This window comes from Homo sapiens, chromosome 9, assembly GCF_000001405.40.
Source record: "Homo sapiens chromosome 9, GRCh38.p14 Primary Assembly".
Lineage (NCBI taxonomy): Eukaryota > Metazoa > Chordata > Mammalia > Primates > Hominidae > Homo > Homo sapiens.
Window position 1 is genome coordinate 137047399 of NC_000009.12, and position 25391 is coordinate 137072789.

A 25391-nucleotide genomic window follows, 5' to 3' on the forward strand; every position below is an offset into this window, starting at 1 on the left:
AAGCTCACTTCCCAGGAAGGTGAGGAGGCGAGTGGGCAAGACCAGGCCTTCCCATCCTGGAGAAAACTGGCTTGGGGAGGGGCTGCAGGGCCTGGCTGGGGCTGCAGGATGCCTTTTGGAGGTGCAGGACACTCAGTCCCAGGTGAGAAGGGCAAGGTGCCCTGTGCCATTGCATGGCTCAGCTCCACAGCCAGGTTCTGTGCAAGATTCCTGCCTATGGGTCCTGGTCCTGATCTCATCTCCCACCCCTGTGCCACCTCCTGATGTGGGCCTGCCCTCCCGCCAGTCTCTACCAGCACTGACTGCCCCCTAGGAAGCCGCCTGGCTGGCTGCCACCCACTCTCCGCCACCTCCCTGACCTCTACCCTCACCCCCAGGCTCACTGTACCAGGACCCAACCTTCAGTCTGGCCTTGGTCACCAACGCAGATCTGGATGTGATGGTTTTGGGGAACTCTGCTGGCCAGAGAAGACTCAAGGGCCCAGGAACATTCCCTCGGGCCAGCCATCCTGCAGCTACTCTAGGCTGCCACGGCACACCAGGGCAGCAGCCAGTGCCCCAGGCCTGGCTCCAGAGCAGAAGGCAGTAGGGAGGGATGGTGTCCACCCTCAGGACCAAGGGCAGGCCCGTGCGGCTAGAACAGCGGGAAGGTGGGGGCACAGGCCACAGCAAGGATGCCCCACCCCACAGACACTCTCCTTTCACGTCTCTAGGAAAAACTTTTTATTACAAAATTTTTACAAGTAGGTGCTGGGCTGGCTGCCAGCCCGTGGGCTGTGACCCTCCCCAGTACAGACCCAGACTACACAGAAGGAGCCTCTAAGGGCTGATTCTCAGGACCAAGGCCCCACTCTCTGGAGACCCAGCCCTGAGGAGGAGGAGGAGGAGCACGGGGCCTGCAGTGATGCCCAGGCTGAAGCGGGCTGGAGGGGTTCAAGGAGCTGGATTGAGCGCTCTTTGCCCACCCAGGCTCCTGTGGGTACCAGAGTCTCAGTTCCTATTTCCTGGGCTGCCTTAGGGGCAGAGACGCTGAGGGTGGGGTGGAAGGATGGAGAAGACAGTGGTGGGGTGGAGCGGTGGGGGATAGAGGGTGGGTGGAGGAATGCAGGATACAGGGGCGGGGAGAGAGGTTGGGAGAGGGGTGGGTGGAGGGGTGGGGATACAGGGGTGGGAGGTACAGGGGTTGTGGGAGGGGTGGGAGTACGGGGTGGGGATACAGGGGTTGGGGGAGGGATGGGGCAGCTGCCCCCGTCGGCCCCTAAATGGTGCTTGGCAGCTTGGCGGAGTGCACCTGACGCAGCAGCAGGACAAGCGCAGCCAGGAGCGCGGAGGCGAAGAGCAGCAGGAGGACGACCCAGGAGCTGAAGTCTGTGCCCTTGCGCAGCCCCGGCGGGTCGGCGGGGATCAGGTTGGTCAGGTTCAGCATGTAGCCGAGCGCCCAGCCCACTGCAGTGTCCGCGGCCTGCGGGGAAGGGCGTGGCCTCAGCTCCCGAGAGGCCCCGCCCCGCAAGGTCGGCCCCGCCCCGCCCCGCCCCAGCCCACCTTCTTCTGGAAGATCACGCCGCCGAAGGCGCGCTCGTCGAAGCCGTAGCCGCGACTCAGCAGCTGCTGCACGAACATGGCCCCGGCGCAGTAGTCGGCCAGGCGGGCCCGTTGCCCTGGCACCCGAGCTTGCAGCTGGGACGCGGGCGGGACACCGTCAGGCAGGCGACCACCAGGAGGTCTCGGCCCCACGGGGAGAGGGGGCCGGCGGCGTGCTTCACCCCTCCCCAGACACACACGGGCCGTGCGAGGCCAGAGACCACCACACAGGCCCGGACACGAATGGCAAGACCGAGTCCGAGGGGCACCCCCGGCAGGGCACGCTTCCATCCCTCCCCAGCCAGCGCCCATGCCTGGAAGGCCAGTGAGGAGGGACAGCAGGCATGGCCACCAGGGAGCAGGAGGCAGCAACACCTTGGTGTGTGGCCAGGGGAACAGGACGAGCTCCAGGCCTGAGTCTGCCCGCTGGCTCGCCGCCTGTCCCCACCTCCCTCACCCCAGTCTGTCTGAGACTAGGCCCTGGGAGGACAAAATGGGGCCTCGCTCACCACCCCGGTCCTGGGACGACTCGTACGTTTCTCTTGGAGTCTCCGGTGGGCACACTCCCGGTGCCCAGACCCACTTCCATCTTCCCTTGTGTGGTACCATGGAGGGAACCAGTGGCAGAAGCCAGAAACCTGGGCACCGGCCTCCCCCTGCCCTCCAGATCTGGGATGAGGGTCGGGCCTGGCGAAGCTTCTCCAACCCGCCCGACTTGTTCACAGCCTACCGGCCACAGCCACGCCACCTCTGGAGTCAGCCTAATGCCTGCCATCGCCCCCACTGCAGCGGGTGCTCCGAGAGGCCTGTCCATGCAGGGCTGGGGAGGCATGCGGAGGCGGAGGCTGAGCCCTTCCGCACAGCCCTGAAGGAGTGGGAGCGGGGCTCACCTGAGCCCAGGTCTGGTTGCAGACATTCACTGCGGCTGCCTCCAGCTGCTGCAGGGTGGCCACGGGCAGCCCCATCGAAGTCCGCAAAAAGTCCACAGTGTAGAAGAAGGCAGAGAAGGCCTGTAGGGGGCGCAGTCACACTGTGACCGAACCCCAGCGGCTCAGAGCACCTGCTGCCACCCGCCTGTCCCTACTCACGACAAAGTTCCCAGCCACCCGCCTGCCCTTACCCACGACAAAGTTCCCAGCCACCCGCCTATCCCTACTCACGACAAAGTTCCCAGCCACCCGCCTGTCCCTACCCACGACAAAGTTCCCAGCCACCCGCCTGTCCCTACCCACGACAAAGTTCCCAGCCACCCGCCTGTCCCTACCCACGACAAAGTTCCCAGCCACCCGCCTGCCCCTACTCACCACAAAGTTCCCAGCCACTGGGGGCTGGAAGACCCCATTGAAAGAGCATCGGGAGAAGGGGCAGGAGGAGAAGCTGAAGAGCCCAGAAACCAGATCTCGGCAGAGGTGGGGGTCACTGCTCCCTGACAGGCTGACCCTGGCACTGCTGTTGAAGTTCTGGGGCCGCTGGGCCATGGTGCATGGTGACTGGTACACATCCCCGAGCAGCACTTGGGTGGAAAAGCCCCTCGGCCAGCAGGGGTGGAAGCCGTGGGTCTGGGGGAATCACCAGCGTGACAGGGTGGCACCACCACCGCTCCAGAGGACCAGCCTGACAAACCTCCCACAGGTCTCACTCTGGCAACTTCACTTTTGTGCTCAGGGGCAATCCATGGCTCCCCACTGCCTGCTTGACAGATCCCAACGCCCCTGACCAGGCTCCCTCTGAGAGCCGTCCCTGGCCCTCCCTTCTCCAGGCCCAGCCCAGCCACTGGGCCTTTGCTCATGCTCTGACCCTCCCACCTGTCTTTCCAGCCAATTAAAGCCCAGCCTGGAGAAGCCTTCCACAGCACAGTGGCTGTCCAGGCTCTGCTCCAGGAGGGAACAGTGCAGTGCAGGTGAGCCAGGGTGGAGGGGCACCTGGAGGGCGCTGGCCAGCAGCCTCTGGAGGACCTGGTCACGGCCATAGCAGAGGAAGCTGTGGGTGTAGACTCGGTAGTGCTGGCCGTAGAGATGCAGCTGGACCTCGCTGGCTCTGTCCTCAGCTGGACTGGTTGTCTCAAAAGTGATCTGGGTAGAGGCACCCCCCAGGTCCATGGCCCCCAGTGTCCCCTTCCGTGGCCGGAACCACCGGCCCACCCAGCCGTACTGTGGAGAGGGGAGTGTGGGGTCAACCAGGGGCCGAGGGCGCCCACGCCCCCTGGCTCTTTGGCTGGCTGCTGGGCCCACCTTGATGAAGTTCTCCAGCAGGTAGTTGGCAGTCACCCAGCCAAACACCCCCTCTTCCTGGCCCGAGAGGATGCGTGCACCCCGGAAGTCAAAGGGGTACTGGGTCAGTGTGTGAGTCACTGCCATGAGCACACTGGTCGAGGCCTCTGGATTGGTCAGGCTGCAAAACACAGAGAACTCCAAGAGGCCTTCTCCCCAGGTGGCTGTGAGCCTGCTGTAGGGGTGCTCGGAGTCCGCCCTGCAAGGGGTCACAGCCAAAGGCCATCATGGGGACAGGGCCAGGGCACAGGCACACTCACTTGAGCAGGCGCATACCCGCTGTGGCTCCCAGGTAGAGGGGTGTGCCCGCGTGTCTCTCTTTGGGCACATCCTGAAGCGCCTGTTCGAGGCATCCAACAAGACTCTGGCTGGCCCCAGAAGGGTTGTCTGCATAGCTGGAGATGCCCCCACCTAGAGGGAGGCAGAGAGATGAGCCTATGCCTCACGGGCAGCCCCTAGGTGGGCCGTAGGCCAGGAGAGTGAGGGTGGGGGTGGGGGCCGTGGGCTCCCAGACCAGGTGGCACACCTTCCCTGCTTAAGCCCCCAGAAACGCCCAGGTTGGAGACAAAGGGGCCCAGGTGCCACCCGGAGACCAAGGCTGCTGCCTGCTGAGAGGGTGTGGGTGCAGGTGCTAGGACAAAGCCCTGGGCATGGTCAACCCAGGTTGGCCTCCTGAGGCCTGCCTGGGTGTGTCCGCCAGGCCCCCAGACCTCCTCCTGCTCCATCTGGGGCACAGAAGCCAATACTGGGCCCGGCGAGGCTCAAACCTCCCCACCTGCTGCCTAGGCTTCCTTTCTAGAATGCAAACGACTCCTGGCCCCACTCAGGCGCAGGGGCACCAGCCTCTCTCTTTCCAGGGCTTCTGCCTGGAGTGAGCCCCACCCAACACTAAGCAGAAGGACCTGCACTGGCTAAGGCTGGAGAGGGTCCCAGAGACCCTGCAGTGAGTGGGCGTCCTGGCTGGGCTGGGCTGGGCCTCACCTGGAACATCACAGGAGCTGTGCTGGCCCACAATGCCTGTGTCGTTCTCCTTGTCTGCCGGCCACTTGTAGATAAACATGGACGTGTGTGAAGAACCAGCGTCCAGGACGATGCCATACTGCGGGGGAGGGGGAGGGAGTCAGCCTGGGGTGTCCGGGGGCCCTGACACCCTGACACCAAACGTGAAGTTGGGTTCCTCCAGTTTGCCACCGCTCCCCCCCCCACCCAGTCATGTGCCAAGCCTCATGCTGAAGCTCAGAGGAGGCCAGGGCCTCCTCTGAGGCCGTGGTTGGAAGGAGAACAGGGAGGTGGTGGGGAGGTGACTCTTCCCTCCTGACTACCTGAAGCCAGCATGCCAGGGTCTGGGCAGCAGCCTTCCTGGCAAGGGCAGACTGAGGGACTGAGTCAGGGACAGAGGGACAGAGGGTCCCCAGGGACTTTTCCCTGGGGCACAAGTTTCCCAGGCTCAGGGAGAGGAAGCTCCTCTGCAAGAGGAGCTCCCTAGAGTCCCTCTTCCTTCCTCCCCTCTTCCTTCCTCCTCTGTCTCCTTCCAGCTCCTCTGACGGCAGCCCAACCTGAGGATGCAGGAGGCAGGGCCCCAGGTGAAGAAGGTCCACCGAGGCTGGCCGTGGGCCTCAGAGCCAGGTCAGCTCTAAAGACACTCTCCCTAGGCCTCCAAGCCAGGGCCAGAGAGAGAGGCTGGCCCTGCCTTGTTGGGGGTGCTGGGTGGGCCTTCCTGCAGACCTGAGTGGCACGAGCTTGTAAATGCCCTTTTCCAGCTCCTGCCCCAGCATCCTGGATCCACCTGGAAAGCTGGGGACCAGCCTCCCAGGCCCGGGCGCCAATTCCAGCCTCCGAGAGGGCCGCACCAGTCCATCCCGACCAAGGCTTCCCCAGAGCCCAGAGCATCAACAGGTCAGCGCGTGCACCGCCACATGGCCGTCCTGCAGGGCCGCAGAGCTCCCTGCTTCTGACTCCCCATCAGGCTGGGGGACTTGGCTCTCCACCCCACCCCCCTACAAGCCCAATAAAGGGTTAAAGGGGCCGACCAGGAGGTCCCTGGGCCTGCTGGAGTGGAGATCCAGGCTAGCCTGCTCCAACCTTTTGAGGACCGGCCAGGGCTGCTCCGGTCAAGCCCTCCTGTCTTTCTGGGCCACTCTCGTGTCCTGGCGGGGGCCCTGGGTCCTGGGGCTTGTGGATCCCCATCTGGGCTGAATACCCAGTCGATGTGGCTCTAACCGCACCCTCCGGGGCGGCGGCACAGGGCAGAAGTGGCCCGGAGTGCCCCTGGGGGCCCGCACAGGCCTGGGGGCGGGCGTCCGGCAGCACCCAGGGGGCATCGCTGGGCTATCCCGGGAGCGGGGACACAGCCCCTGGGCTGCGTTGACGGACTCGGCGGCGGGCGCGGAACTCCCGGGACTTGTTCCTTCAGCACCGCGTCGCCCTGGAAGCGCCACCGCCCCCCGCCCCCTCCGCGTACCCGGTCGGGGAGCGCAGAGCGCGGAACCCGGGACCCCACCCAGCCCGCCAGGAGCAGAGCACGGTGGGGGTCCCGGGCTGATCCTGCTCAGGTTCCCAGCCGCACCCCCTCCCCGGCTCCAAGCCCGGCCCGCTGCTCCCCAGACGTGCGCTGGGTGCCCGGGCGCGCACCTTGAGGGCGGGCGGCTCCCGGACGTCGCGGGTGGGGACGCACAGCAGTAGGAGGCCGGCGAGGCCCGCGGCGGCCAGCAGCAGCGGCGGCAGCAGTGACCGCACCTTCCCGGCCATGGGCGGGCGGGCGCGCGGGAGGACGATGCGTGGACCCGGAGAGTGCGGGGAGCCGGAGGCGGAGGCGGGCGGGGCCGCGGGACCGCGGGGTAGGGGCCCCGGGGCGGGACGAGGGGCGGGAGGCCGGGCGGGCCCGCCCATCACCGGCCACGCCCACGGGCGGACAGGTTTCGCCTCCGCTCCCAAGCTTCCGCCGTCCGGCCCGCGCAGGTGAGAGACGCGGGCGCGGCTGAGTCACCAGCACCGCCCCCCGGCTCCCGGGTCTGAGCCCGGGCGCCCCGCGGCTATGGCCCACCTTCCCCTTCCCGCCCACTCAGCAAGGGGATCCCCCGGCCGTGGAGGCAGGAGACCTGGCGTGGGGGTGGGCGGGCGAGGCTGGCTCGGAGGGTCCTGTGCTGGAGAGCCGCGCTTTTCCCGGGCCCGGGAAAGGAGGCCAGACTCGCTTGCAGGAATGAGGCACTGTCGGCTGCGGAGCCACGCGGGGCCCGGGCTGGGGACTCAGGAGGAAGCCGAGGGTCAGCACCTGTTTGTGGAGCAGGGCCCTGAGCGCCAACTCCCAGGGCTGGTGAGGACCAGGCTGGCCTGCGGGATGCCCTCCCGGCCAGCAAGGATCCGCCAGCCTGCGGCGCTGAGCCAGCGCAGGTCAGCTCCAGAGACACGCAGCTGACCCAGGCCAGAACTACCCTTGAGGCCCAGTCAGATCCACCTCACCTGGGCCCTGTACTGAGGTGAAGGTGAGGACGCAGGAACGGGGAAGGGGAGGGACGGCCCAGGTCACACCGAGCCGAGAAACAGGAGAAGCAGCACAGACCGGGCCAAAGGTCCATACCTCCCAGCCCAGGGCCTCAGCCGCGCCTGCTGCCCCCTCGGCCTGAGGGGAACAGAGGCTTGGGCTGCGGAGGCCAGAGGAGGCTTCCCCAGGACGGAAACAGGTGGGGCCTCTACGTGGCCTGAAAGGCAAGGAAGAGGGTCCCCAGGCCAAGCTTGGGGTGCGGGTCAGCAACAGGCTTCTGGGGACGGCTGGGGCAGGCGAAGCGCAGCTGGCCCCAGACGCAAGCCCTGCTCCTCCGTCCCACGACATGGCTGGCCTTTCGGCTCTGCAGCCTCACAGGCCCCGCATCCCAGCCCGGCCAGGGGCCACCCCCTTTGCGCCTGCTGCAAAGTGGGAATTCTTGTCCCAATAATTCCAGCCACACAGCGTCAGGGAGCCACGAGGCAAGGCCACCAGGGAGTGCAGGCTGCTGGGGCCCAAAGGGCAGCCCCATGGGGCAGGGTCCAGACCATGCCCGGCCTTCTGGAACGGGCAGTGACAATTGTGCTGGGATTGCTGCCTGGGCTGAGGGTCTGGCGCCACAGGCCCAGTAAAGGCATCTTTCTTCCAGCTCAGGACCCCAAAGGGAGGGGTGGGAACCCTGGGAAGCCTCTCTGCTGCCTCAGCCTCACAGCCCAGCCTGGCGGGGCTCCAGCAGGCAATCTCTGGGTGTTGCCGGTGCTAAGCTCCAGGCCCCAGGCCCCAGTTTCCCCCCACACACCCCAGGCCTTTCTTCCACCCCTGACCGCCCAGAGGAGGGAGAGGCACGCACAGTGCACATCATGCCTGAAAAGGAAGGAACAAAGGCCGCCCAGAGGCAGGGTGCTGCGACCCCCACTGGCCTGCGGTACCCCGCTTCCCTCCAGGCCCAGCGGGGCTTCCTGGTGTTCTGGACTCTTTTCATGGACAAAAAGCTCAAGCCAGGGAGTGGGAGGTCTGCCAGGCCTGAGAGGATGGGGAGGGAGAGGGGAGCTGGACTCTGCCCCGGGGAGACAGGCTCATGGCCGAGTGCCCAGCTTCGCCTGCGGAGGGAGAGGCAGGGAGCCCAGAGCGGCCAGGACAAAGGCTGAGGCTGAGCTCTCTTTGAGACGGAGTGAGGGCGGGGGAACGCCCCTTCCTGGCATGGACTCAGGGACCCTGGAAGGCAGACTTGGGAGAGCGTCAGAGGGAAGCTGGCAGGAGCTGAAGGGGTGGAGGGGCCTCTGGGTGGGGCAGCTCTCGGCTTCCAGGACCCTCTCGGGGATGGGGCCTCCAGATGTGCTGCACATGACCCCGGCTGAGCTGGGAACATGCGGATGCAGAGAGGTTAGGGGAGAACCCCTGGGGGAGGGAACTCGGAGCCTCCCGCCCACGCAGGGCTCAGACCTCCCAGGGAGGGGGGCTTTCCTGAGGCCTGCTGACATCTTGGCTGCCCTGCCTCAGTCTCCACATCAGAAGCTTGTGCTGTGTGGCTCACGTCTGTAATTCCAGCACTTTGGGAAGCTGAGGCAGGTGGATCACTTAAGGTCAGGAGTTCAAGACCAGCCTGGCCAACATGGTGAAACGCCGTCTCTAATAGAAATACAAAAATTAGCCGGTTGTGGGCCGGGCGCGGTGGCTCACTCCTGTAATCCCAGCACTTTGGAAGGCTGAGGCGGGCGGATCATCAGGTCAGGAGATCAAGACCATCCTGGCTAACGCAGTGAAATGCCATCTCTACTAAAAATACAAAAAATTAGCCGGGCGTGGTGGCGGGCACCTGTAGTCCCAGCTACTCGGGAAGCTGAAGCAGGAGAATGGTGTGAACCCGGGAGGCGGAGCTTGCAGTGAGCCAAGATCGCGCCACTGCACTCCAGCCTGGGTGACAGAGCGAGTCAAAAAAAAAAAAAAAATTAGTCGGCTGTAGTGGCAGACACCTGTAATTCCAGCTATTTGGGAGGCTGAGGCAAGAGAATCGCTTGAACCTGGGAGGCAGAGGTTGCAGTGAGCTGAGACTGCACCACTGCACTCCAGCCTGGACGACAGAGCGAGATTCCATCTCAAAAGAAAAAAAAAAAAGAAACTTGTGCTGTGGCCGAAACACCTTGATGGTTTAATTGTGAAAGGCCTTTCACTCACTGCTCCCTTTCTGCAGGTGCTCATTAAGTCATTCAACAAACGCTTGCTGAGTAGTACTCCTGGGTGCCCAAAGCACGCCAGGCTCCATGCATGCACAGGGAGCCCTGTGGGGAGGGCACCCACTGGCCTGGGGAGAGCAGACTTTGCAAAGGCCCACGGGAGGCGGGGAAGCCTGTGCTGTCCTGTTCGAGGTCGGAGACACAACAGAATGGGAGGTGCACATATGCACAGTTGGTAAGAGCAATGCCAGGGTGGCAGCAGGACCCCATTGGTGGTCTCTGATGTGCTGGACGTGCTGTTCTGGGACTTGCTTCTTTCACTCACGTTACGCGTTTGGGATTCACCCTGTTGACACTGAGAGGTGTGGCTTGTTTGTTCCTTGCTGTATTCCATCCTGTGAGTGAGAACATGCAGACGGCGTGTCGCTGCAGCTGGTGAACACACAGTGTCTGGCTTTAGGCTTTGCTGAGATTGCTGCTCTGCACATATACACTCTTTTTTTTAATTTTATTTTTTATCTGAGGTGGAGTCTGGCCCTATCGCTCAGGCTGGAGTGCAGTGGCGCGATCTCAGCTCACTGCAACCTCCACCTCCTGGGTTCAAGCGATTTCCCGCCTCAGCCTCCTGAGCAACTCGGATTACAGGCGCCTATAACCATTCCCCACTAATTTTGTATTTTTAGTAGAGACAGGGTTTCACCATATTGGCCAGGCTGGTCTCAAACTCCTGACCTCAGGCGACCCGCCTGCCTCGGCCTCCCACAGTGCTGGGATGACAGGTGTGAGCCACCGCGCCCGGCCTCTCCGTCTGCGTCGGCCTCCCACAGTGCTGGGGTGACAGGTGTGAGCCGCTGCGCCGGCCGCATGTGTGCTCTTGAGAGCACTTCTCTGGGGAGCATCCCGGATCTGAACTGCTGGTTGTCAGGCAAGTGTGTGTTCTGCTTCTCTAGCAAGTGCCAAATTCTTTTCTGAACGATGGCTCTAGCTGGCACTGTGAGCATTTTATTTCATTTTATCTTATTTTATTTATTTACTTTGAGACAGACTCTTCCTCTGTTGCCCAGGCTGGAGTGCAGTGATGTGATCTCGGCTCACTGCAATCTCCGCCTCCTGGTTCAAGCAATTCTTCTGACTCAGCCTCCCAAATAGCTGGGACTACAGCCGTGTGCCACCAGGCTAATTTTTTTGCATTCTAATAGAGACGGGGTCTCACTGTGTTGCTCCCAGGCTGGTCTCAAACTCCTGAGCATCCGCCCATCTCGGCCTCCCAAAGTGCTAGGATTACAGGCATGAGCCACCGTGCCCAGCCTAATTTTTGTATGTTTAGTAGAGACGGGGTTTTGCCATGTTGGCCAGGCTGATCTCGAACTCCTGACCTCAAGTGATCCACCTGCCTTGGCCTCTCAAAGTGCTGAGATTATAGGCGTGAGCCACCAAACCCAGCCCCCCATCTCCTTTTATTGGAGACCGGGGCCTCACTATGTTGCCCAGGCTGGTAAATTCCTGGCCTCAAGCAGTCCTCCTGAGTAGCTGGGGACTAGAGGTGTGTGCCACACCCTGCCTGGCTTTGGCCTTCTTTGATTTTGAAACCGGCTCAATTGTCCCGTGGAACTGATGTTTATGGTTTCTTTGAATAAACACAGAAATTGATCCTCCTAGTCTTAAAATTTGAGAAAGTGACATTTGTCCTATTTGAGTTCCTTTCTCAGAAAACCAACCATGAGGCCCCCAGATAGAATGAAAGAGCTAAAACTCACCAGATCACGGTATCTTGACAATGAGACACCAGACCCCCCAGCTGTCAAGATTGCCTGGCCAACCACCAGCTTCCTGTTGACCAACTCCTCTTCTTCAGCTGCCCCTAATTCCTGTTTTCTCACACCTAGTTACGTGGCTTCCCTGCTCTATAAACCCCTAATTTCAGTGGGTCAGGGAGACGGATTTGAGACTGAGCACCCATCTCCTTGGCTGCGGCCGGCTTAAAGCCTTCCCCCTGGCGGTGCTCCTGGTCTCCGTGATTGGCTTTCTGTGCAGCGAACAGCAGGACCTGGACTGAACCCCTGGTGTTTTGGTAACAGTCTCTCCCCTCCCCTGCCACCTGCTGCCTCTTCCCTGTAAGTAGGTAACAGGCCTTTGGTTTGTTTGTTTTAGCAACAGGGTCTTGCTCTATTGCCCAGGCTGGACTGCAGTGGTGCAATCATAGCTCATTGTGGCCTCAAACTCTTGGCCTCGAATGGTCCTCCTGCCTCAGCCTCTGCAGTAGCTGGGACCACAGGTCCACACCATGGCTGGCTTCCCTTTGCCTTTTTTTTTTTTTTGAGACAAGGTGTTGCTGTGTCACTCAGGCTAGAGTACGGTGGCTCAATCTCAGCTCACTGCAACCTCTACCTCCCGTGCTCAAGGGATTCTTGTGCATCAGCCTCGTGAGTAGCTGGGACTACAGGCATGTGCCACCACACCCAGCTCATTTTTGTATTTTTAGTGGAGACGGGGTTTCCCCATGTTGGCCAGGCTGGTCTTAAACTCCTGGCCTCGGGTGATCCACCTTCCTCGGCCTCCCAGAGTGCTGGGATTACAGGTGTGAGCCACCGTGGCTGGCCTCCTCTATGGTTTTGATATCATGATGGTCTGACCTGTAATCCCAGTACTTTGGGAGACCGGCCTAGGCAACATTGTGAGACCTCGTCTCTACCAAAAACAAACAAACAAAAAAATTGCTTTAATTTTTTTTAAATTAGCGTAATATTTGGATTATCTGTTCCTGCAATTTATGGTAGAACTTGCCTGAAAAGGCCGGGTGCGGTGGCTCACGCCTGTAATCCCAGCACTTTGGGAGGCCGAGGCGGGCGGATCACGAGGTCAGGAGATTGAGACCATCCTGGCTAACACGGTGAAACCCCGTCTCTAGTAAAAATACAAAAAATTAGCCGGGCGTGGTGGTGGGCGCCTGTAGTCCCAGCTACTTGGGAGGCTGAGGCAGGAGAATGGCGTGAACCCAGGAGGAGGAGCTTGCAGTGAGCCGAGATCGAGCCAGTGCACTCCAGCCTGGGCGAAAGAGCGAGACTCTGTCTCAAAAAAAAAAAAAAAAAAACTTGCCTGAAAAAAAAAACACCTAGGCCCAATTTTTCTGTGGGAAGTTTTTTGTTTGTTTTGTCTTTAAGAGATGGGTTAGAGACCAGACTTACTATGTTGCCCAAGCTAGACTCAACCTCCTGAGCTTCAAAAATCCTCCCACCTCAGCCTCTGGAATAGCTGGGACTACAGGCATATGCCACTGTGCTGGCTTCTACAGTACTGTTTCCATTTCTTTGATAGTTACAGGGCCAGACCCCTATTAACTATTCTTCCTGAGCCAATTTTGTATTTTTTTCTTTTCTTTCTTTCTTTTTTGTTTTTTGAGATTTGTTATTATTATTTTTAGAGACAGGGACTCACTCTGTTGCCCAGGCTGGAGTGCCGTGGTGCAATCACAGGTCACGGCAACCTCCGTCTCCTGAGCTCACGTGATCCTCCCACTTCAGCCTCCCGAGTAGGTGGGACCACAGGGGCACATCACCACACACAGACAATTTTTTTATTTTTTGTAGAGGTGGAGGGTCTCCCTGTGTTGCCCAGGCTGGTTCCAAACTCCTGGGCTCGGGCAGTCCTCCCGCGTCAGCTTCCCAAAGTGCTGGGATTACAGGCGTAAGCCTGCCCATGTGGCTGATTTTGTATTTTTCTAGGAAGTTACCCACTCCAGCTGAATTGGCATAATCTCATTTAAAATATCCTCTTAGAATCAGCTTAACTTCTGCAGCATGTGTGACTATTTTGCTCTTTTTTATTCCTAATATCATTTATTTGTGCCTTATCTCTTTTTTCTTGATTAATTTAGCCAGAAATTTTGTGTACTTTTTCTCAACCAAGTTTCTGTCATGTTTGTTTCCTATTTTACTATTCTTTTCATGAAAGAGGAAAAGCTATTTATACCTTTATTGGTGTGTGTGTGTGTGTGTCTGTTTGAGACAAGGTCTCACGCTACCACCCAGGCGGGAGTGCAGTGATGTAATCTTGGCCCACAGCAGCCTCGACCTCCCAGGCTCAAGCAATCCTCCCACCTCCACCTCCTGAGTAGCTGGGACTACAGGCACGCGCCACCACACCGGCTAATTTTTAAATTTGACACATAAGTTGTTTAGACGTGTCTGCTTTAATATCCAAAAGTCTGGGCCGGGCGTGGTGGCTCACGCCTGTAATCCCAGCACTTTGGGAGGCTGAGACAGGCACATCATGAGGTCAGGAGATCGAGACCATCCTGGCTAACACGGTGAAACCCCGTCTCTACTAAAAATACAAAAAATTAGCCGGGTGTGGTGGCGGGCGCCTGTAGTCCCAGCTACTCAGGAGGCTGAGGCAGGAGAATGGCGTGAACCCAGGAGGTGGAGCTTGCAGTGAGCCAAGATCGCGCCACTGCACTGCAGCCTGGGCGACAGAGCGAGACTCCATCTCAAAAAAAAAAAAAAATTCCAAAAGTCTGGGCTTTCTCGAATTCTCTCTTTTCTTTCTTTTATTTATTTTGAGACAGGGTCTTGCTCTGTCACTCAGGCTGGAGTGCAGTGGCACAATCATAGCTCATGGTAACCTCAAACTCCTGGGCTCAAGTGATCCTCCCACCTCAGCAGCCCCAGTAACTGGGAACACAGGCATGAGCCACCACATCTGGCTAATTTTTGTATTTTTGGTAGAGTCAGGGTTTTGCCGTATTGCCCAGGCTGACCTCAAACTCCTGGGCTGAAGCAACCCTCCCGCCTCTGCCTCACAAAAGGCTGGGATTACTGGTGTGAGCCACTGCACCCGACCGATACATGTTTATTTTATTAATATTATTTTTTTGAGACGGAGTCTCATTCTGTAGCCCAGGCTGGAGTGCAGTGGTGCCATCTCAGCTCACTGCAATCTCTGCCTCCTGGGTTCAAGCAATTCTCCTGCCTCAGCCTCCCGAGTAGCTGGGACTACAGGCGCCCGACACCACGCCTGGCTAATTTTTGTATTTTTAGTAGAGACGGGGTTTTACCATGTTGGCCAGGCTGGTCTCAAACTCCTGGCCTCGGGTGATCCACCCACCTCGGCCTCCCAAAGTGCTGGGACCACAAGCATGAGCCACTGCGCCCGGCCTAGTCTTCTTTATAGCATTAAGAGATCATGCTTTTCATGGAGTAAGGAACTATAAATACCACTCCTTGTTCATGTTTCCAGAAATCTCTTTTATTTCTTTAGATATATAAAACACTGTTACTTTATATTCTCTCTGATAATTCTAGTATCTGGGTCTAGAGTCAATCTGTTGCTTCTGCTGGGTCTCATAGTGTATTGTTTCCTTGTGGTGTTTATGAATTTTTAAACCTGGATCTCTCATTTTCTTTCTTTCTTTTTTTTTTTTGTAGAGATGGGGTCTCTCACTGCGTTGCCCAGGCTGCTCTGGAACTCCTGGCCTCAAGTGCTGGGATTCCAGGCGTGAACCACCACGCCCGGCTGAGATGTTCCTTTTCCTTGGAACTTGATCAACACAAAATCCTGAGGCCTGGTGTGGGTGTGTTCCTCTGGGGCAGATTCTCAACTGGGGACACTTCTGCCCCCAAGGACACATTTCAACATCCTGAGACATTTCCGGGTGTCATCACAGTGTGCACGCACGTGTATGTACCTGCACACGCTACTGGCACCTCGCGGATAGAGCCCAGGGACGCTGCTCACATCCTGCACGGAGACTGACCCGCCCAGCGTCCTAGGGCAGGCTCCAGGCAGGGTCTGCATGTGCCTCTGCCAGCCACCTAGACCCTGCCAGCCGGGGCCTTTAAATTCTCCCCTCGTGGTCTCCAGGGCCACTCACTAGCCTGATTTCAAGCTGTAAACTGGGAGGACCTATTTCTTTTCACCTTGCACGGAACACCAAGGCTGAAAGGCAGTTTTTCCGGAGGTGCCAGCCTGTCTCACATTTCCGCTTCAGCTGCGGGGTCCAGCTCTATGTGGGCGGTCTCCTGATGAAGTCACCCCGGGACAGACACTGTTCTGTCTCCTGCTTCCAGTCCAGTAAAGATGCCAGGATCCCCCAGGGCATGGCAGGCACCCTCAAAGGCAGACGTGGGGAGGCCCTGGTGGGCAGACCCCAGCCTGCTGACGGGGGGCTTCTCCCTGGCTGCCACTGGCCCACCCACTGCGCTGCAGTCCACCTGGTGCTGGGGCTGTGGGGCACAGGCCCTCAGGACCTGCACCCTTTCCTGCCCAGGAGGTCCAGGCCTGACATCCTTATGTCCCCTGGAAAGCCCACTCCCATCTTCAGGGTAGGAGGGCAGCTGCATGCTGGGCTGACTTGGGCCTGTCCTGGGACACCCCTGCAGACCAGGTGCAGCAGGGAATGTGGCTCTGTGGGGTTGCTGTGGGCAGGTTAGCATGGAGCTGGGCTCCGGAAGGGAGTTGCCACGCTGCCTGCCAGGGCCCCTCCTCTGAGACAGGTGCCTTGTGGGACAGTGTACCAAAGTGCCCTGGACACGAGGGGGCCCTGCGCCCCCCACGCACTGACCCCGCATCGGAGGCCCTGCGCCCCACACACACTGACCCCGCATCGGCATCGGGGGCCCTGCGCCCCCCACGCACTGACCCCGCATCGGGGGCCCTGGGCTGCAGAACCCATCGATGCTGTTGCCGTGCCCCTGGTTCTGGTGACACTGGGACCCTCCAGGTTGGGCTGAGCAGGGCCCCCCCACCAGTGCGTACTCCAGCACCAGCGGGAGTGGGCCTGGGCAGGGGCTGAGGGAGTGACACCCAAGGGGACCTGCCCCAGCCTCCTCCTGTACCCTGGGGGTTCTCGTTTTCCTTGGCTGAGGGAGGTGGCCTCTCCCAGCTGAAACCTGGGGACAGGCTGGGCGTGAGAGCAAAGGGGGGTGAGCAGGACCCCAGGCCTTGGAAATCCTGAGTCGGGGGAACAGGCTTTGCCTATGACGTGCCTGGGAGCTGTCTGGGGGCCCTCCTGGGGAGCCAGGCTCACAGGATGTTGTGTGGGACTCAACGTGGGGCAACGTCCCGGCCAAGAGGGGGAAGGCCATCACCCCAGGGTCTGTGGGAGGCACATGCAGGCCAAGCTCTCGCCCACCCGGCGTGCCGATCCGCTGCAGCCAGGGTCCCTCAGCCTTGGCCAGAACCTGAAGTCCGACCGCTATCCCTGGGGCTCCCCAGCCAGGCAGGCACCCCCCGCTTACAGGCCGTCCCCACCCCCTCCATCTACTTCCGTCCGTCCGAGCTACAGCCACCTCGTCCTGGTGCCCTGGTTGAGCGGGAAGCTGCCCTTGGACCCGCGTCGGAGCCGCCCCGCGCCCTCTGCTGCCCGTTGTTGGAAGTGCAGCCTGGCGTGGGCAGTGCCTTTCCCTGAAGATGGGACCCAGGGCGGCACCGCTGGAAACGGGGGGACGCTAACTCATGGAGGGGTACCCCACTGTCCACTGACAGCGGCAGTAGTAGCTGCGGACTATGCGGACTCAAGAGAGCCCCAGCCCATGTCAGCACCAGGAGCCAAAACGGAGTCAAGCGCTCGGTGCGGGGACCAGCCGGGGGCAGGCCTGGGGAGCCCATCTGGCAAGGGCGGCAGGAAGGCGCCCACTCCGGGACTGTGCCTGGGCCTGCCGGGGGTCTCCAGCCAGAGAGGGTGGGTGCGATGGGGCGCCCACCCTCGAAGGGCTGAGTGCCAGGCTGGCCCTGGGGGCCCACGCGGCCCACAAGGACTAGATGAAGGTGGAATCCAGAGGTCCCCCGTCCTGCTGGCTCAGGGCGCGGGCCTCAAACAGCTGCTTAATGAGCGCCGACTTCTCCTGCTCCAGCTGCGTGATGCGCTCACTCTTCTCGGTCACCTCCTGGGCAGGTGCACAGTTGGTCAAGGCCTGCGGGGCCTCACCCCCACCCCTGCACCCCTCCCGCGCCTGCCCTACCTGGGTGAGGAGTCGGTTCTGCTCCTTCAGCATGAGGATGGTCTGCTGCTGCCAGACCGGGGGTGAGGTGGACGTCAGGGCAGGGCAGGGGGGCCCGGAGGAGGACGGGGGCAGGGCCTGCGGGAGGGCAGGATTAGGCAGGCCTGGACGAGGGCGGGGAAGCACTAAACTGGCCTGGGCCCCAGCGTGGGTGTGGGGGTTTGGGGTACACTCACCCGGCTGGCACAGGCTGCAGCCAGCAGCTCCCCCAGGCACCGGGCCACCTCTTGTACCTTGGGCAGTAGCCGCCCCAGTGGGCGGGGGCTCCCTGCAGCCCCAAAGTCCTGGGAAGAAAGCAGAGGACAAGCGGTCAGAGAGGAGGTCCAGCCGGGGCCAGCAAGGTGCCTTGATAGGGGTTCCCACAGGTGGCTCTCCTGCCTCCTGATGCTGCAGAGAGCCTAGAGGGTCCCAGGGGCATTGCTGAGGTGGGAGGTCTGCCCAAGACACCTTAGGCCCTAGGAGTGGGGCAGCCACAGGCGGAGAAAGGGATGTCTCAGCATCCTGGGTGGAATCGACAGCCACTGTGTCCGGGAATAGGGGCAGCCACAATGCCCAAGGGTGCCTGGGGTGAGCTGGGGTCCCCATGTGTGGGGATCTGGGGACAGGGCTGTGGCACTCACGGCGCTGGCTCTGCTCTGGCCCAGGCGGCGCTGGCGCTCCTGCACTCGTTGCAGCTGCTGCTGGTACCAGTCGCGGCCCCGCGCCATCATCTCCAAACCCTGCAGCAGCACCTCCTTCTCCTGCTCCAGCTCCTTCATCTGCTTCAGCTGCAATACGTGCATTTACATGGAATGCCTGGCCCCAGTGAGCACGCACACGTCCACACATGCATGAGCTCACCTGTGGGTGGGCACCAGAGCCACAGACACAAATGCAGCAGCACGTGTACACGTTTGCAAACACCCACGGACGCACGCTTCTGCTGACACCTGCATGTGTGAGCCCCATAGGCCCATTTGGAGCAGGAGCCCCGTTCCTCCTGCTGAGGGGTCTTGGCCTTTCTTAGCCCCTCCACTCAGGCTTCCCTGGGGGAGGGGTGACGGACCCTTCAGCTGAGCCCACCCTCCCGAAGTCTGCCTGTGGTGAGCACACAGCTGGGAAGCCAGACTGGCTTGCAGCAGCAACCTCGTGAGGCGGGCTGGGCAGCCACCATAGCTGCCCTAAACGACCTCTTGACCTCCCTCTGCCTGACCCTGGGCCATCCCTCCAGGGGAGTCAAGCCCAGGTAGGGAGAGAGATGTCCAGAGCTGACTGTACTTCCGCCATGGACTCCCCCAGGCTCAAGGCCCCCCTGCTCCCATCCCGGCCTCCAGCCTCCAGGCAAGATGGAGAGCCCCACAGAGCCCCAGTCCCTGCTCACCAGGCCGCAGTCCACGCCGCTGGCGATGGTGTGCCTCCGACGTTCCCCTCGGGCACGGGGAGCCCGCCGGGCATCCCCTGAGTCCGCCTCCAGGGCCCTGCACGCCACTGCACCTGTTATGGAGAGGCATGGGCCTGGCTCACCTCCAGACCTGCCTGGCCAGGCTCTGCTGAGGTGCAGCGGCCTCCACATCTCAGCCCACCCTCGAGGTCTCGGGCACCAGCCTGGCATGGCCCACGTGTAGCCTCTGTGCCAGGCTGGAGTTTGGTCCCTCTCCCCTTTCCAGCTCCTCACACTGGCTTGGGGAGGGCTGTGCCGCCAAGCCCGCATGTTTGCTCAAACACACACCCTGCCCCCTCATCGGTCCGTGAGCTCTCTGGGGCCAGAGGCCTTATCCAGCTCTCTTCTGCACACCCAGTGCCCAGAACATGGCAGGCACACCCTGGGTCTCCAAGGCAGCTGGGTAAGGGAGGAGTGGGCGGGGGGGTTCTGGTCCTGACTACGCCTCTCCCATCTGCACGGGGTCCTGCAAGGCAGCAGGAGATGTGGGTGTGAATGACGGAAACCTAACTTTTCCCAGGATGGTGACTCTGATAGAAAGTTAGTCCCGCATGGCCGGGCACAGTGGCTCACGCCTGTAATCCCAGCACTTTTGGGGACCAAGGCGGGTGGATCGCTTGAGCTCAGGAGTTTGAGACCAGCCTGGGCAACATGGCAAAACCCCATTTCTTCCTTTTTTTCTTGAGACGTTGTTTTGTTCCTGTTGCCCAGGCTGGAGTGCAATGGTATGATCTTGGCTCACTGCAACCTCCGCCTCCCAGGTTCAAGTGATTCTCCGGTCTCAGCCTCCCGAGTAGCTGGGATTACAGACACCCACTACCATGCCCAGCTACTTTTTGTATTTTTTAGTAGAGATGAGGTTTCACCATGTTGACCAGGCTGGTCCTGAACTCCTGACCTCAGGTGATCCACCCACCTCAGCCTCCCAAAGTGCTGGAATTACAGGCGTGAGCCACTGTGCCCGGCCGGCAATACCCCATTTCTATTAGAAACACAAAAATTAGCCTGGTGCAGTGGCATGCACCTGTGGTCCCGGCTACTCAGGAGCCTGAGGCAGGAGGATTGCTTGAGCCTGGGAGGCAGAGGTTCCACTGAGCCCAGATTGCGCCACTGCACTCCAGGCTGGGCAACACAGCAAAACTTTGTCTCAAAAAAAAAAAAGATCCCTTGCCGGGCACGGTGGCTCACACCTGTAATCCCAGCACTTTGGGAAGCTGGGGCGGGGGGGGATCAGTTGAGGTCAGGAGTTCAAGACCAGCCTAGCCAACATGGTGAAACCCTGTCTCTACTAAAAATACAAAAATTAGCAGGGCGTGGTGGCATGCACCTGTAATCCCAGCTACTCGGGAGGCTGAAGCAGGAGGATCGCTTGAACCCAGGAGGCGGAGGTTGCAGTGAGCTGAGATTCGCGCCACTGCACTCCAGCCTGGGCGACAGAGCAAGACTCCATCTCAAAAAAAAAAAAAAAAAAAAAAAAAAAAGTCCCGCGTGTGTGATACGCCAGGCGGTGCACCCAACTGACAAGTCAGGCACGTCCTGGTGCTCACAGACCCCTGCTCTGAAGTTTGTTTGAGGGCTCCCCCTGGGGGCAGCCAAGAGTATCGCGTTGGTGCCACTCCGGCCCAGCTTCCTGGTGAGGGAGTAGGTGCACCTCCCCAGGCTACAGAAGTGGGTACAGGTGTGGAGGAAGGCATCCTCCTTCGGCCTCCAGCTGTAGCCCCAGCACCAGGCACATCCTTAGAGGCCATGCCCCTGGCACCTGGCCACAGGAGTCAGGGAGTGATGCAAGAATTGGGCCCAGGTAGGCACGGCAGAGAGCCTGGCTCCAGGCAGGCCCGAATTCGCACTCCAGCCTGCGGTGCTGAGCGGCTGGCAGCTCTGGGGCAAGACAGTGGAAGAGCACACAGCCCTTCAGGAGGTGGGAGCAGAGAGGGTACAGACAGAGGGAGGCCATAGAGGAAGTCCCAGGACACCTGGGCCCGGTCTGTACAGTTGAGTCCATAGAGCAGCTCCTGGGTCCCCAGATAGCAGCGTGCTGGGTGATGAGCTAGATGGCCTCTAGGTGGGGGTGGTGGCTCTGCCCCTCCAGGGCCCTGAGCCAGCAGGCCACACCTCCAGGGCCACAGCCAGCCTGGAGCAAACACGCAGTCCCAGGTGGGAACAAGGAAAGAGGCCCTGAACATCTGGGCTGGGGGCTTGGAAGGCTGTGTGTGTTGGCAGGCTTTCTGGGAGTTGGGGTGACCTCAGAGCTCCAGATTTGACACCCCAAAAGCCAGCTGTGTCAATCAAATATGTCACGCCATTTGTCTGGCCCTCCGTTTGCCTGTGAGAGGGTGACAGCTACAGCCCTAGCCATGTGGCCTTCAGGGAGATGTGGTACGTGAGCCAGTGCCGCATGGGGCATCAGAGCAGAGCAGGGGTGGACCACAGGCTTAGGCCTCCAAACCCCAGGCCCGGCCACAGCGTGCAATCCCATGGCTGATTTCAAACTGCATGGCCACATGGATGACGCTGACCCTGCATTTGGAGCCAGATACCCTCTGAAGGTTCCCTCACCATAGAACTAGGGGTCCCCCAGCCTGGTGTGGCTGCTGGATCAGATCACCAGGGAGGCCAGGGCCGCCGTGGCTCCAAACACCAGCTGTAGGGCTGGAGAATATGGCTGAGGTGGGGGAGCAGTACAGGGAGGGTGGCAGAGCAGCAGGCAGCACAGGGACCGGCAGGAGCCACCGGTGGGCAGGCCTCCCCTGGCAGAACGGGTGCACAGGCCGAATGGGCTGTGGGGCCTGGGGCCCCTCTGGGAGCTTGGCCCCCCAACCCCAGCCATAATACAGGTCCTGTTCCCAAGGCAGGCACTGGGTTGGGGGAGACAGGGGACCATTCAGCAATCTCCCATCACTGCCAACTGGACCGGAAGGCAGGAGAGGAGTGTGCCAGCCATCCCCAGGGACTACGGCCTATGTCCCTCCATGGCATCTGCCATAGTACAGCCCCACTGGGGTGCAGGAGATCCACCCACGCCCCTGCCCATCTTGGCAACAGGGCCAGGTCCTCTTGGGCCACCAGCAGCAGCCCCCGCCTGCCTAGGCCTCAGTGGGGTCAGTGGGCCCAGCCCCCCTGGCTAAGCTGTCACACTGAGAAGGGGGACCCTTTCTTTGAGAAGGAAGCACTTCTGCCTGAGCAGCCACAGACAGGAGGCTGAGGGCCCAGGTGTCCCCAGGTGCGGAAAGGGTATTGGAGATGGAGAGCCCAAGCTCAGGCTTGGTACAGGTTGGGCTCCCGGTGGGTTTTCTGAGTCACCTGCCACCCCCCGGCCCTGGTGGCCTTATGCTGTGGCAGGAGAGGGTCTGGCTTGCCTCCCTAAGCAAGCCCCTGGGCTCACCGCGACAAGCATGAAGCCCTTTCCCTCCAGACCCGCCGAGGCGCCCTCCAGGATCCGGAGTCCACGAAGAGCCGCTCCCCGGTCCCGTCCCTTGTGGGAAATGCACGGGCAGCAGCTGTGGGACTGCGGTTTCTGGCCCGGGCCCGGGAGAGCTACGAGGGTGCCCGGGGGCCGTCCGGAACTCACCTGCGTCCGCGCTGGAGCTCGGTTCCAGCGCCGCGCTCTGGGACCGCTCGGGCTCCGCGGGGCAGGGCGCCGCCTCAGCCGGGGCGCACAGCTGCTCCGGGCTGCGGGCGGCGGCGCTGGGACCGGCCAGAGGGGCGCGCACGCCCAGGGGCAGGGGCTTCCTCTCCAGGACCGTCCGCGGCTCGTCGGCCGGAGCGAACACCAGGCGCTGCGGCGGCGGCGGCGGCTGATCCCCGGGCCGGGCCGGGGCGCGCGTGGGGTCCCGGGGGCCGCCGTCGGCGCTCAGCAGGGAGGTGCGCAGGCCGGCCACGAAGCGCTCGAAGGTCAGGTAGCCGCTGGCCGGGGCCACCTGGCGCAAGCCCTCCAGCACCCCGCGGGGCAGCTCCCGCGCGTCGGTGCCCTGCCAGCGGGACTCGATCTCGCGCAGGTGCACGCAGCCGCGCCGCCGGTCGTCCAGGATGTCGAACAGGGTGCGCAGGCTCTGCAGGAAGGCGCGCGGCAGCCCCTCCGTGCTGGGCGCGGGTGCGGGGGGAGGCACGCGGCCCCGCTCGGCCATGGCGGCCCCGGCCATGGGCGCCCGGGATCGGTCCCCTCGTCCACCCGCGTGCGTCCCAGCGCGGCCCCACGGAGGGGCCGGCCCGGCGAGCTCAGCCCACGGCGACAATAGCGACTACTTTTGAATGGGGCCCTCCTCGCGGCGTCAGCCCTCATTAACATGCGCCGCGGCCATTGGCCGAGCCCGTCCCATCTGCTCTCTGATAGGCTGAGAGGAGGTTTGATTTTTTTTTTTTTTTTCTTGCCGAGTGGCCCTGGGAGGCGCGCGGAGGCCCTGGGCAGGCGGAACCGGATCCCCCAGCTCCTGCTCCACTCTGGCCTCGCAGACCTTCCTTTCTGCCCCGCCCCAGCCCCACCAAACCTCCTGCCGCGGCCAGGCGCTTTCTCGGATCCAGCTGTGGCTGGCTGCCCCGGCCACCTCTCCAAGGGGCGGGGCCTGGCACCCTACAAAAAAACCTGTCTCCAGGTAGCCTCGTGGGGTAAGAATGGGGGGGGGCACCCCCTCCAAAGATCCCACTTTTCCCCTCTAGTTCCCTGGCCGCAAGCACAGGTGACCCTGCGGCCCCCTTCTCTTCCACCAGGAGGGCCCCAAGAGGATCGTAGGCTCCAGCCAGCTGGGCGCTTCCCACTCACAGAGGCCTTTCTGTCCCCACTGCTGCTGGCTCCTCCTCTGGTCCCTCGGGACAGTCTGGCCTGGCCTGCCTGCTGCAGAACAAAGCCACTTTCTCCTGTGTCCCCAGATCCCCATCTAGTGACCAGCTCCCTCTGCCTCTTGCTCTCCTCTCCTCCTTCCCCTGGCTGGACACCTCCTCCAGCTGCTCTCCTGGCTCCCGCAGCCCTGTCCCCCTGCCTCTGCTGTGTTTCCAGCTGGGATCTGGTCACTCTGTCTTCATTTGGTCTGTCCACATGGGAGGTGAGACCAGGCCTTAGCCTGGGTTCTAGCCCTGGGAGCCCATCTCAGGGCTGGCCAGTAGTACCCTCTAGGTTCCAGGGAGGTGTTCAGGGTGCAAACACCCTCCCCAGACAGGCCCCCAATCCGAGACTTGCCTTGGCCCTCTGCGGGTCTCCCACCCTCCCTCCTGGGCAGGCCTCAGCTGGCATACCTACCTGGGTCTCTGTCCTCAGGCCTGAGCCACTGGTGCCTGTGTCTCAAGCTGTAGAGGCATCTTCCCAGGCCAGGGAGTATCCTGGGTCCACTTCTCTTCTGGGTCACTCACTCTAAGTGGGACTCCTTCATCGTAGGGAATGCTGGAAGGACATAAGAAGCTCTGAGCCTGGAGCAGCCCATCAGAGCTTGGTCCTGTAAGCCAGCTTCCCCTTTAATGGCTGGTCTGCTCAAAAACCCAGCACGAGGCCGAGGCGGGAGGATCACTTGAGCTGGGGAGTTCAAGACCAGCCTGGGCAACATAAGGCAACCCTATTTCTACAAAAAGTTTAAAAAATTAGCCAGGCGTGGTGGTGCATGCCTGTGGTCCCAGGTATTTGGGAGGCTGAGGTGGGAGGATCCCTTGAACCCAAGAGGTTGAGGCTGCAGTGAGCTGTGATTGAGCCACTGCTCTCCATCCTGGGTGACAGAGCGAGATCTTGTCTCAAAAACAAAACAAAACAAAACAAACCAGCACAACACGCAAGCCCCCGCCCCCCCATCCCCACACCTACCCTGCTTCCAGCACACCCCTCACCGCCAGTGCCAGGCCTGGGGTCCCTGCACTCCCTCACTTCCAGGCCCCTGTGCCTGGTGGCTCTTCTACCAGGAAGGCCCTTCCCCTCTGCTCCAGGCTGACCGCACTACATCCTTCAGAACTCTGCTCTGGCCCCAGTCCCCTTCCCCCTGAAGCCTAGTTAGATAAAACACAGGGGACAGCTTTCTCCTGGCCCAGGGGGCCCTGGCTATTTGCAAGCAGGACAGGGCTCCTTCTAGGCCTGGCATTGGCCTGGCCCACAGTGGGTGCTCTGTGAATGGCACTGGGGAGCCGTATCCAGTGAAATCATATGGGAAACACCATCCTTGAGTGGGCACCAAGCCAGGCTGAGGCCTAAGGGATGGGGAAGGGCTGGGAACAGCTCAGTGGTATGGCAGGGGAGGCCAGTGTGGATGTGGAGTCGGTGGCCAGCAGTGAGCAAGGCTGCTGCAGCTCAGGACAGCGTGGCCAGCAGTGTCCAGGCCAGGCCAGCCATGGCCCCGCATGGAACTGAACCCACCGTGCAGATGAAACAAGGGCTTTTCATACCATCCAGAGCCTTGGGGGAGGCGGCCCCAGCTGGCCCTTGGTCTGTGGGCTTCTCTGTGGCCCCTGGCTGGGTATTGGAGGAAGGTATGAAAAAGACTGGAGGCCGGGCACGGT

At 61.3% G+C, this 25391-nt stretch overlaps 2 protein-coding genes and 1 long non-coding RNA gene across 6 annotated transcripts, besides 13 other annotated features; 1 reads left to right on the top strand and 2 right to left on the bottom strand.

Annotated features, from left to right (window-relative positions):
* On the bottom strand, positions 709-6663 carry ENTPD2 (ectonucleoside triphosphate diphosphohydrolase 2). 3 transcript variants are annotated; one of them, NM_001246.4, is made up of 9 exons: positions 6483-6663; positions 4833-4950; positions 4112-4262; positions 3813-3972; positions 3504-3731; positions 2886-3140; positions 2472-2591; positions 1543-1608; positions 709-1462 (listed from the first exon to the last, which is right to left on the bottom strand). In NM_001246.4, exons 1-9 carry the CDS (start codon positions 6597-6599, stop codon positions 1259-1261), a joined length of 1419 nt encoding a protein of 472 aa, NP_001237.1. In that variant the 5' UTR covers positions 6600-6663; the 3' UTR covers positions 709-1258. The 3 variants fall into 3 exon arrangements, with proteins under 3 accessions (NP_001237.1, NP_982293.1, XP_011517514.1); NM_203468.3 differs by having other exon boundaries at positions 1543-1677; XM_011519212.3 differs by lacking the exon at positions 6483-6663 and having other exon boundaries at positions 1543-1677; positions 4128-4262; positions 4833-4933.
* Positions 1246-1774: an enhancer, noted in NCBI's record as "H3K27ac-H3K4me1 hESC enhancer chr9:139943096-139943624 (GRCh37/hg19 assembly coordinates)". NCBI's record gives its function as "activates a minimal SCP1, AML or CMV promoter by ChIP-STARR-seq in primed H9 embryonic stem cells {active_cell/tissue: H9 hESC(primed)}" and the evidence as "EXISTENCE:reporter gene assay evidence [ECO:0000049][PMID:30033119]".
* Positions 1775-2303: an enhancer, noted in NCBI's record as "H3K27ac-H3K4me1 hESC enhancer chr9:139943625-139944153 (GRCh37/hg19 assembly coordinates)". NCBI's record gives its function as "activates a minimal SCP1, AML or CMV promoter by ChIP-STARR-seq in primed H9 embryonic stem cells {active_cell/tissue: H9 hESC(primed)}" and the evidence as "EXISTENCE:reporter gene assay evidence [ECO:0000049][PMID:30033119]".
* Positions 2641-2700: a silencer, noted in NCBI's record as "silent region_20567". NCBI's record gives its function as "represses an Ori minimal core promoter by ATAC-STARR-seq in GM12878 lymphoblastoid cells {active_cell/tissue: GM12878}" and the evidence as "EXISTENCE:reporter gene assay evidence [ECO:0000049][PMID:35858748]".
* LOC105376327 (uncharacterized) lies at positions 4947-5977 on the top strand. The gene is made up of 2 exons (XR_930455.2): positions 4947-5477; positions 5612-5977. It is a non-coding gene; the product is annotated as an uncharacterized LOC105376327 (long non-coding RNA).
* Positions 6649-6718: a silencer, noted in NCBI's record as "silent region_20568". NCBI's record gives its function as "represses an Ori minimal core promoter by ATAC-STARR-seq in GM12878 lymphoblastoid cells {active_cell/tissue: GM12878}" and the evidence as "EXISTENCE:reporter gene assay evidence [ECO:0000049][PMID:35858748]".
* Positions 6819-6898: a silencer, noted in NCBI's record as "silent region_20569". NCBI's record gives its function as "represses an Ori minimal core promoter by ATAC-STARR-seq in GM12878 lymphoblastoid cells {active_cell/tissue: GM12878}" and the evidence as "EXISTENCE:reporter gene assay evidence [ECO:0000049][PMID:35858748]".
* On the bottom strand, positions 14729-23159 carry SAPCD2 (suppressor APC domain containing 2). 2 transcript variants are annotated; one of them, XM_011519180.4, is made up of 7 exons: positions 22492-23159; positions 22306-22395; positions 18864-18976; positions 18124-18270; positions 17680-17787; positions 17465-17581; positions 14729-17389 (listed from the first exon to the last, which is right to left on the bottom strand). In XM_011519180.4, the coding sequence occupies exons 1-7, from the start codon at positions 23060-23062 to the stop codon at positions 17261-17263; spliced, it is 1275 nt and encodes a 424-aa protein (XP_011517482.1). In that variant the 5' UTR covers positions 23063-23159; the 3' UTR covers positions 14729-17260. The 2 variants fall into 2 exon arrangements, with proteins under 2 accessions (XP_011517482.1, NP_848543.2); NM_178448.4 differs by lacking the exon at positions 22306-22395.
* Positions 16411-17188: an enhancer, noted in NCBI's record as "H3K27ac-H3K4me1 hESC enhancer chr9:139958261-139959038 (GRCh37/hg19 assembly coordinates)". NCBI's record gives its function as "activates a minimal SCP1, AML or CMV promoter by ChIP-STARR-seq in naive H9 embryonic stem cells {active_cell/tissue: H9 hESC(naive)}" and the evidence as "EXISTENCE:reporter gene assay evidence [ECO:0000049][PMID:30033119]".
* Positions 20378-21358: an enhancer, noted in NCBI's record as "H3K27ac-H3K4me1 hESC enhancer chr9:139962228-139963208 (GRCh37/hg19 assembly coordinates)". NCBI's record gives its function as "activates a minimal SCP1, AML or CMV promoter by ChIP-STARR-seq in naive and primed H9 embryonic stem cells {active_cell/tissue: H9 hESC(naive and primed)}" and the evidence as "EXISTENCE:reporter gene assay evidence [ECO:0000049][PMID:30033119]".
* Positions 20711-20760: an enhancer, noted in NCBI's record as "active region_29340". NCBI's record gives its function as "activates an Ori minimal core promoter by ATAC-STARR-seq in GM12878 lymphoblastoid cells {active_cell/tissue: GM12878}" and the evidence as "EXISTENCE:reporter gene assay evidence [ECO:0000049][PMID:35858748]".
* Positions 21061-21110: a silencer, noted in NCBI's record as "silent region_20570". NCBI's record gives its function as "represses an Ori minimal core promoter by ATAC-STARR-seq in GM12878 lymphoblastoid cells {active_cell/tissue: GM12878}" and the evidence as "EXISTENCE:reporter gene assay evidence [ECO:0000049][PMID:35858748]".
* Positions 22487-22536: a silencer, noted in NCBI's record as "silent region_20571". NCBI's record gives its function as "represses an Ori minimal core promoter by ATAC-STARR-seq in GM12878 lymphoblastoid cells {active_cell/tissue: GM12878}" and the evidence as "EXISTENCE:reporter gene assay evidence [ECO:0000049][PMID:35858748]".
* Positions 22587-22636: a silencer, noted in NCBI's record as "silent region_20572". NCBI's record gives its function as "represses an Ori minimal core promoter by ATAC-STARR-seq in GM12878 lymphoblastoid cells {active_cell/tissue: GM12878}" and the evidence as "EXISTENCE:reporter gene assay evidence [ECO:0000049][PMID:35858748]".
* Positions 22807-23216: a silencer, noted in NCBI's record as "silent region_20573". NCBI's record gives its function as "represses an Ori minimal core promoter by ATAC-STARR-seq in GM12878 lymphoblastoid cells {active_cell/tissue: GM12878}" and the evidence as "EXISTENCE:reporter gene assay evidence [ECO:0000049][PMID:35858748]".
* Positions 23321-24300: an enhancer, noted in NCBI's record as "H3K27ac-H3K4me1 hESC enhancer chr9:139965171-139966150 (GRCh37/hg19 assembly coordinates)". NCBI's record gives its function as "activates a minimal SCP1, AML or CMV promoter by ChIP-STARR-seq in naive H9 embryonic stem cells {active_cell/tissue: H9 hESC(naive)}" and the evidence as "EXISTENCE:reporter gene assay evidence [ECO:0000049][PMID:30033119]".

Coding starts and splice junctions, on each gene's coding strand:
- ENTPD2 (NM_203468.3), bottom strand. CDS start 6,599: ATGGCCGGGAAGGTGCGGTCACTGCTGCCGCCGCTGCTGCTGGCCGCC. Junction 4,263..4,832: donor CAGCTCCTGTGATGTTCCAG/GTGAGGCCCAGC, acceptor GCCTCCCTCTAG/GTGGGGGCATCTCCAGCTAT. Junction 3,732..3,812: donor TGCTGGAGAACTTCATCAAG/GTGGGCCCAGCA, acceptor CCCTCTCCACAG/TACGGCTGGGTGGGCCGGTG.
- SAPCD2 (XM_011519180.4), bottom strand. CDS start 23,062: ATGGCCGGGGCCGCCATGGCCGAGCGGGGCCGCGTGCCTCCCCCCGCA. Junction 18,977..22,305: donor AGGGCTTCATGCTTGTCGCG/GTGAGCCCAGGG, acceptor TCTCCATAACAG/GTGCAGTGGCGTGCAGGGCC. Junction 17,788..18,123: donor GCCAGAGCAGAGCCAGCGCC/GTGAGTGCCACA, acceptor CTTTCTTCCCAG/GACTTTGGGGCTGCAGGGAG.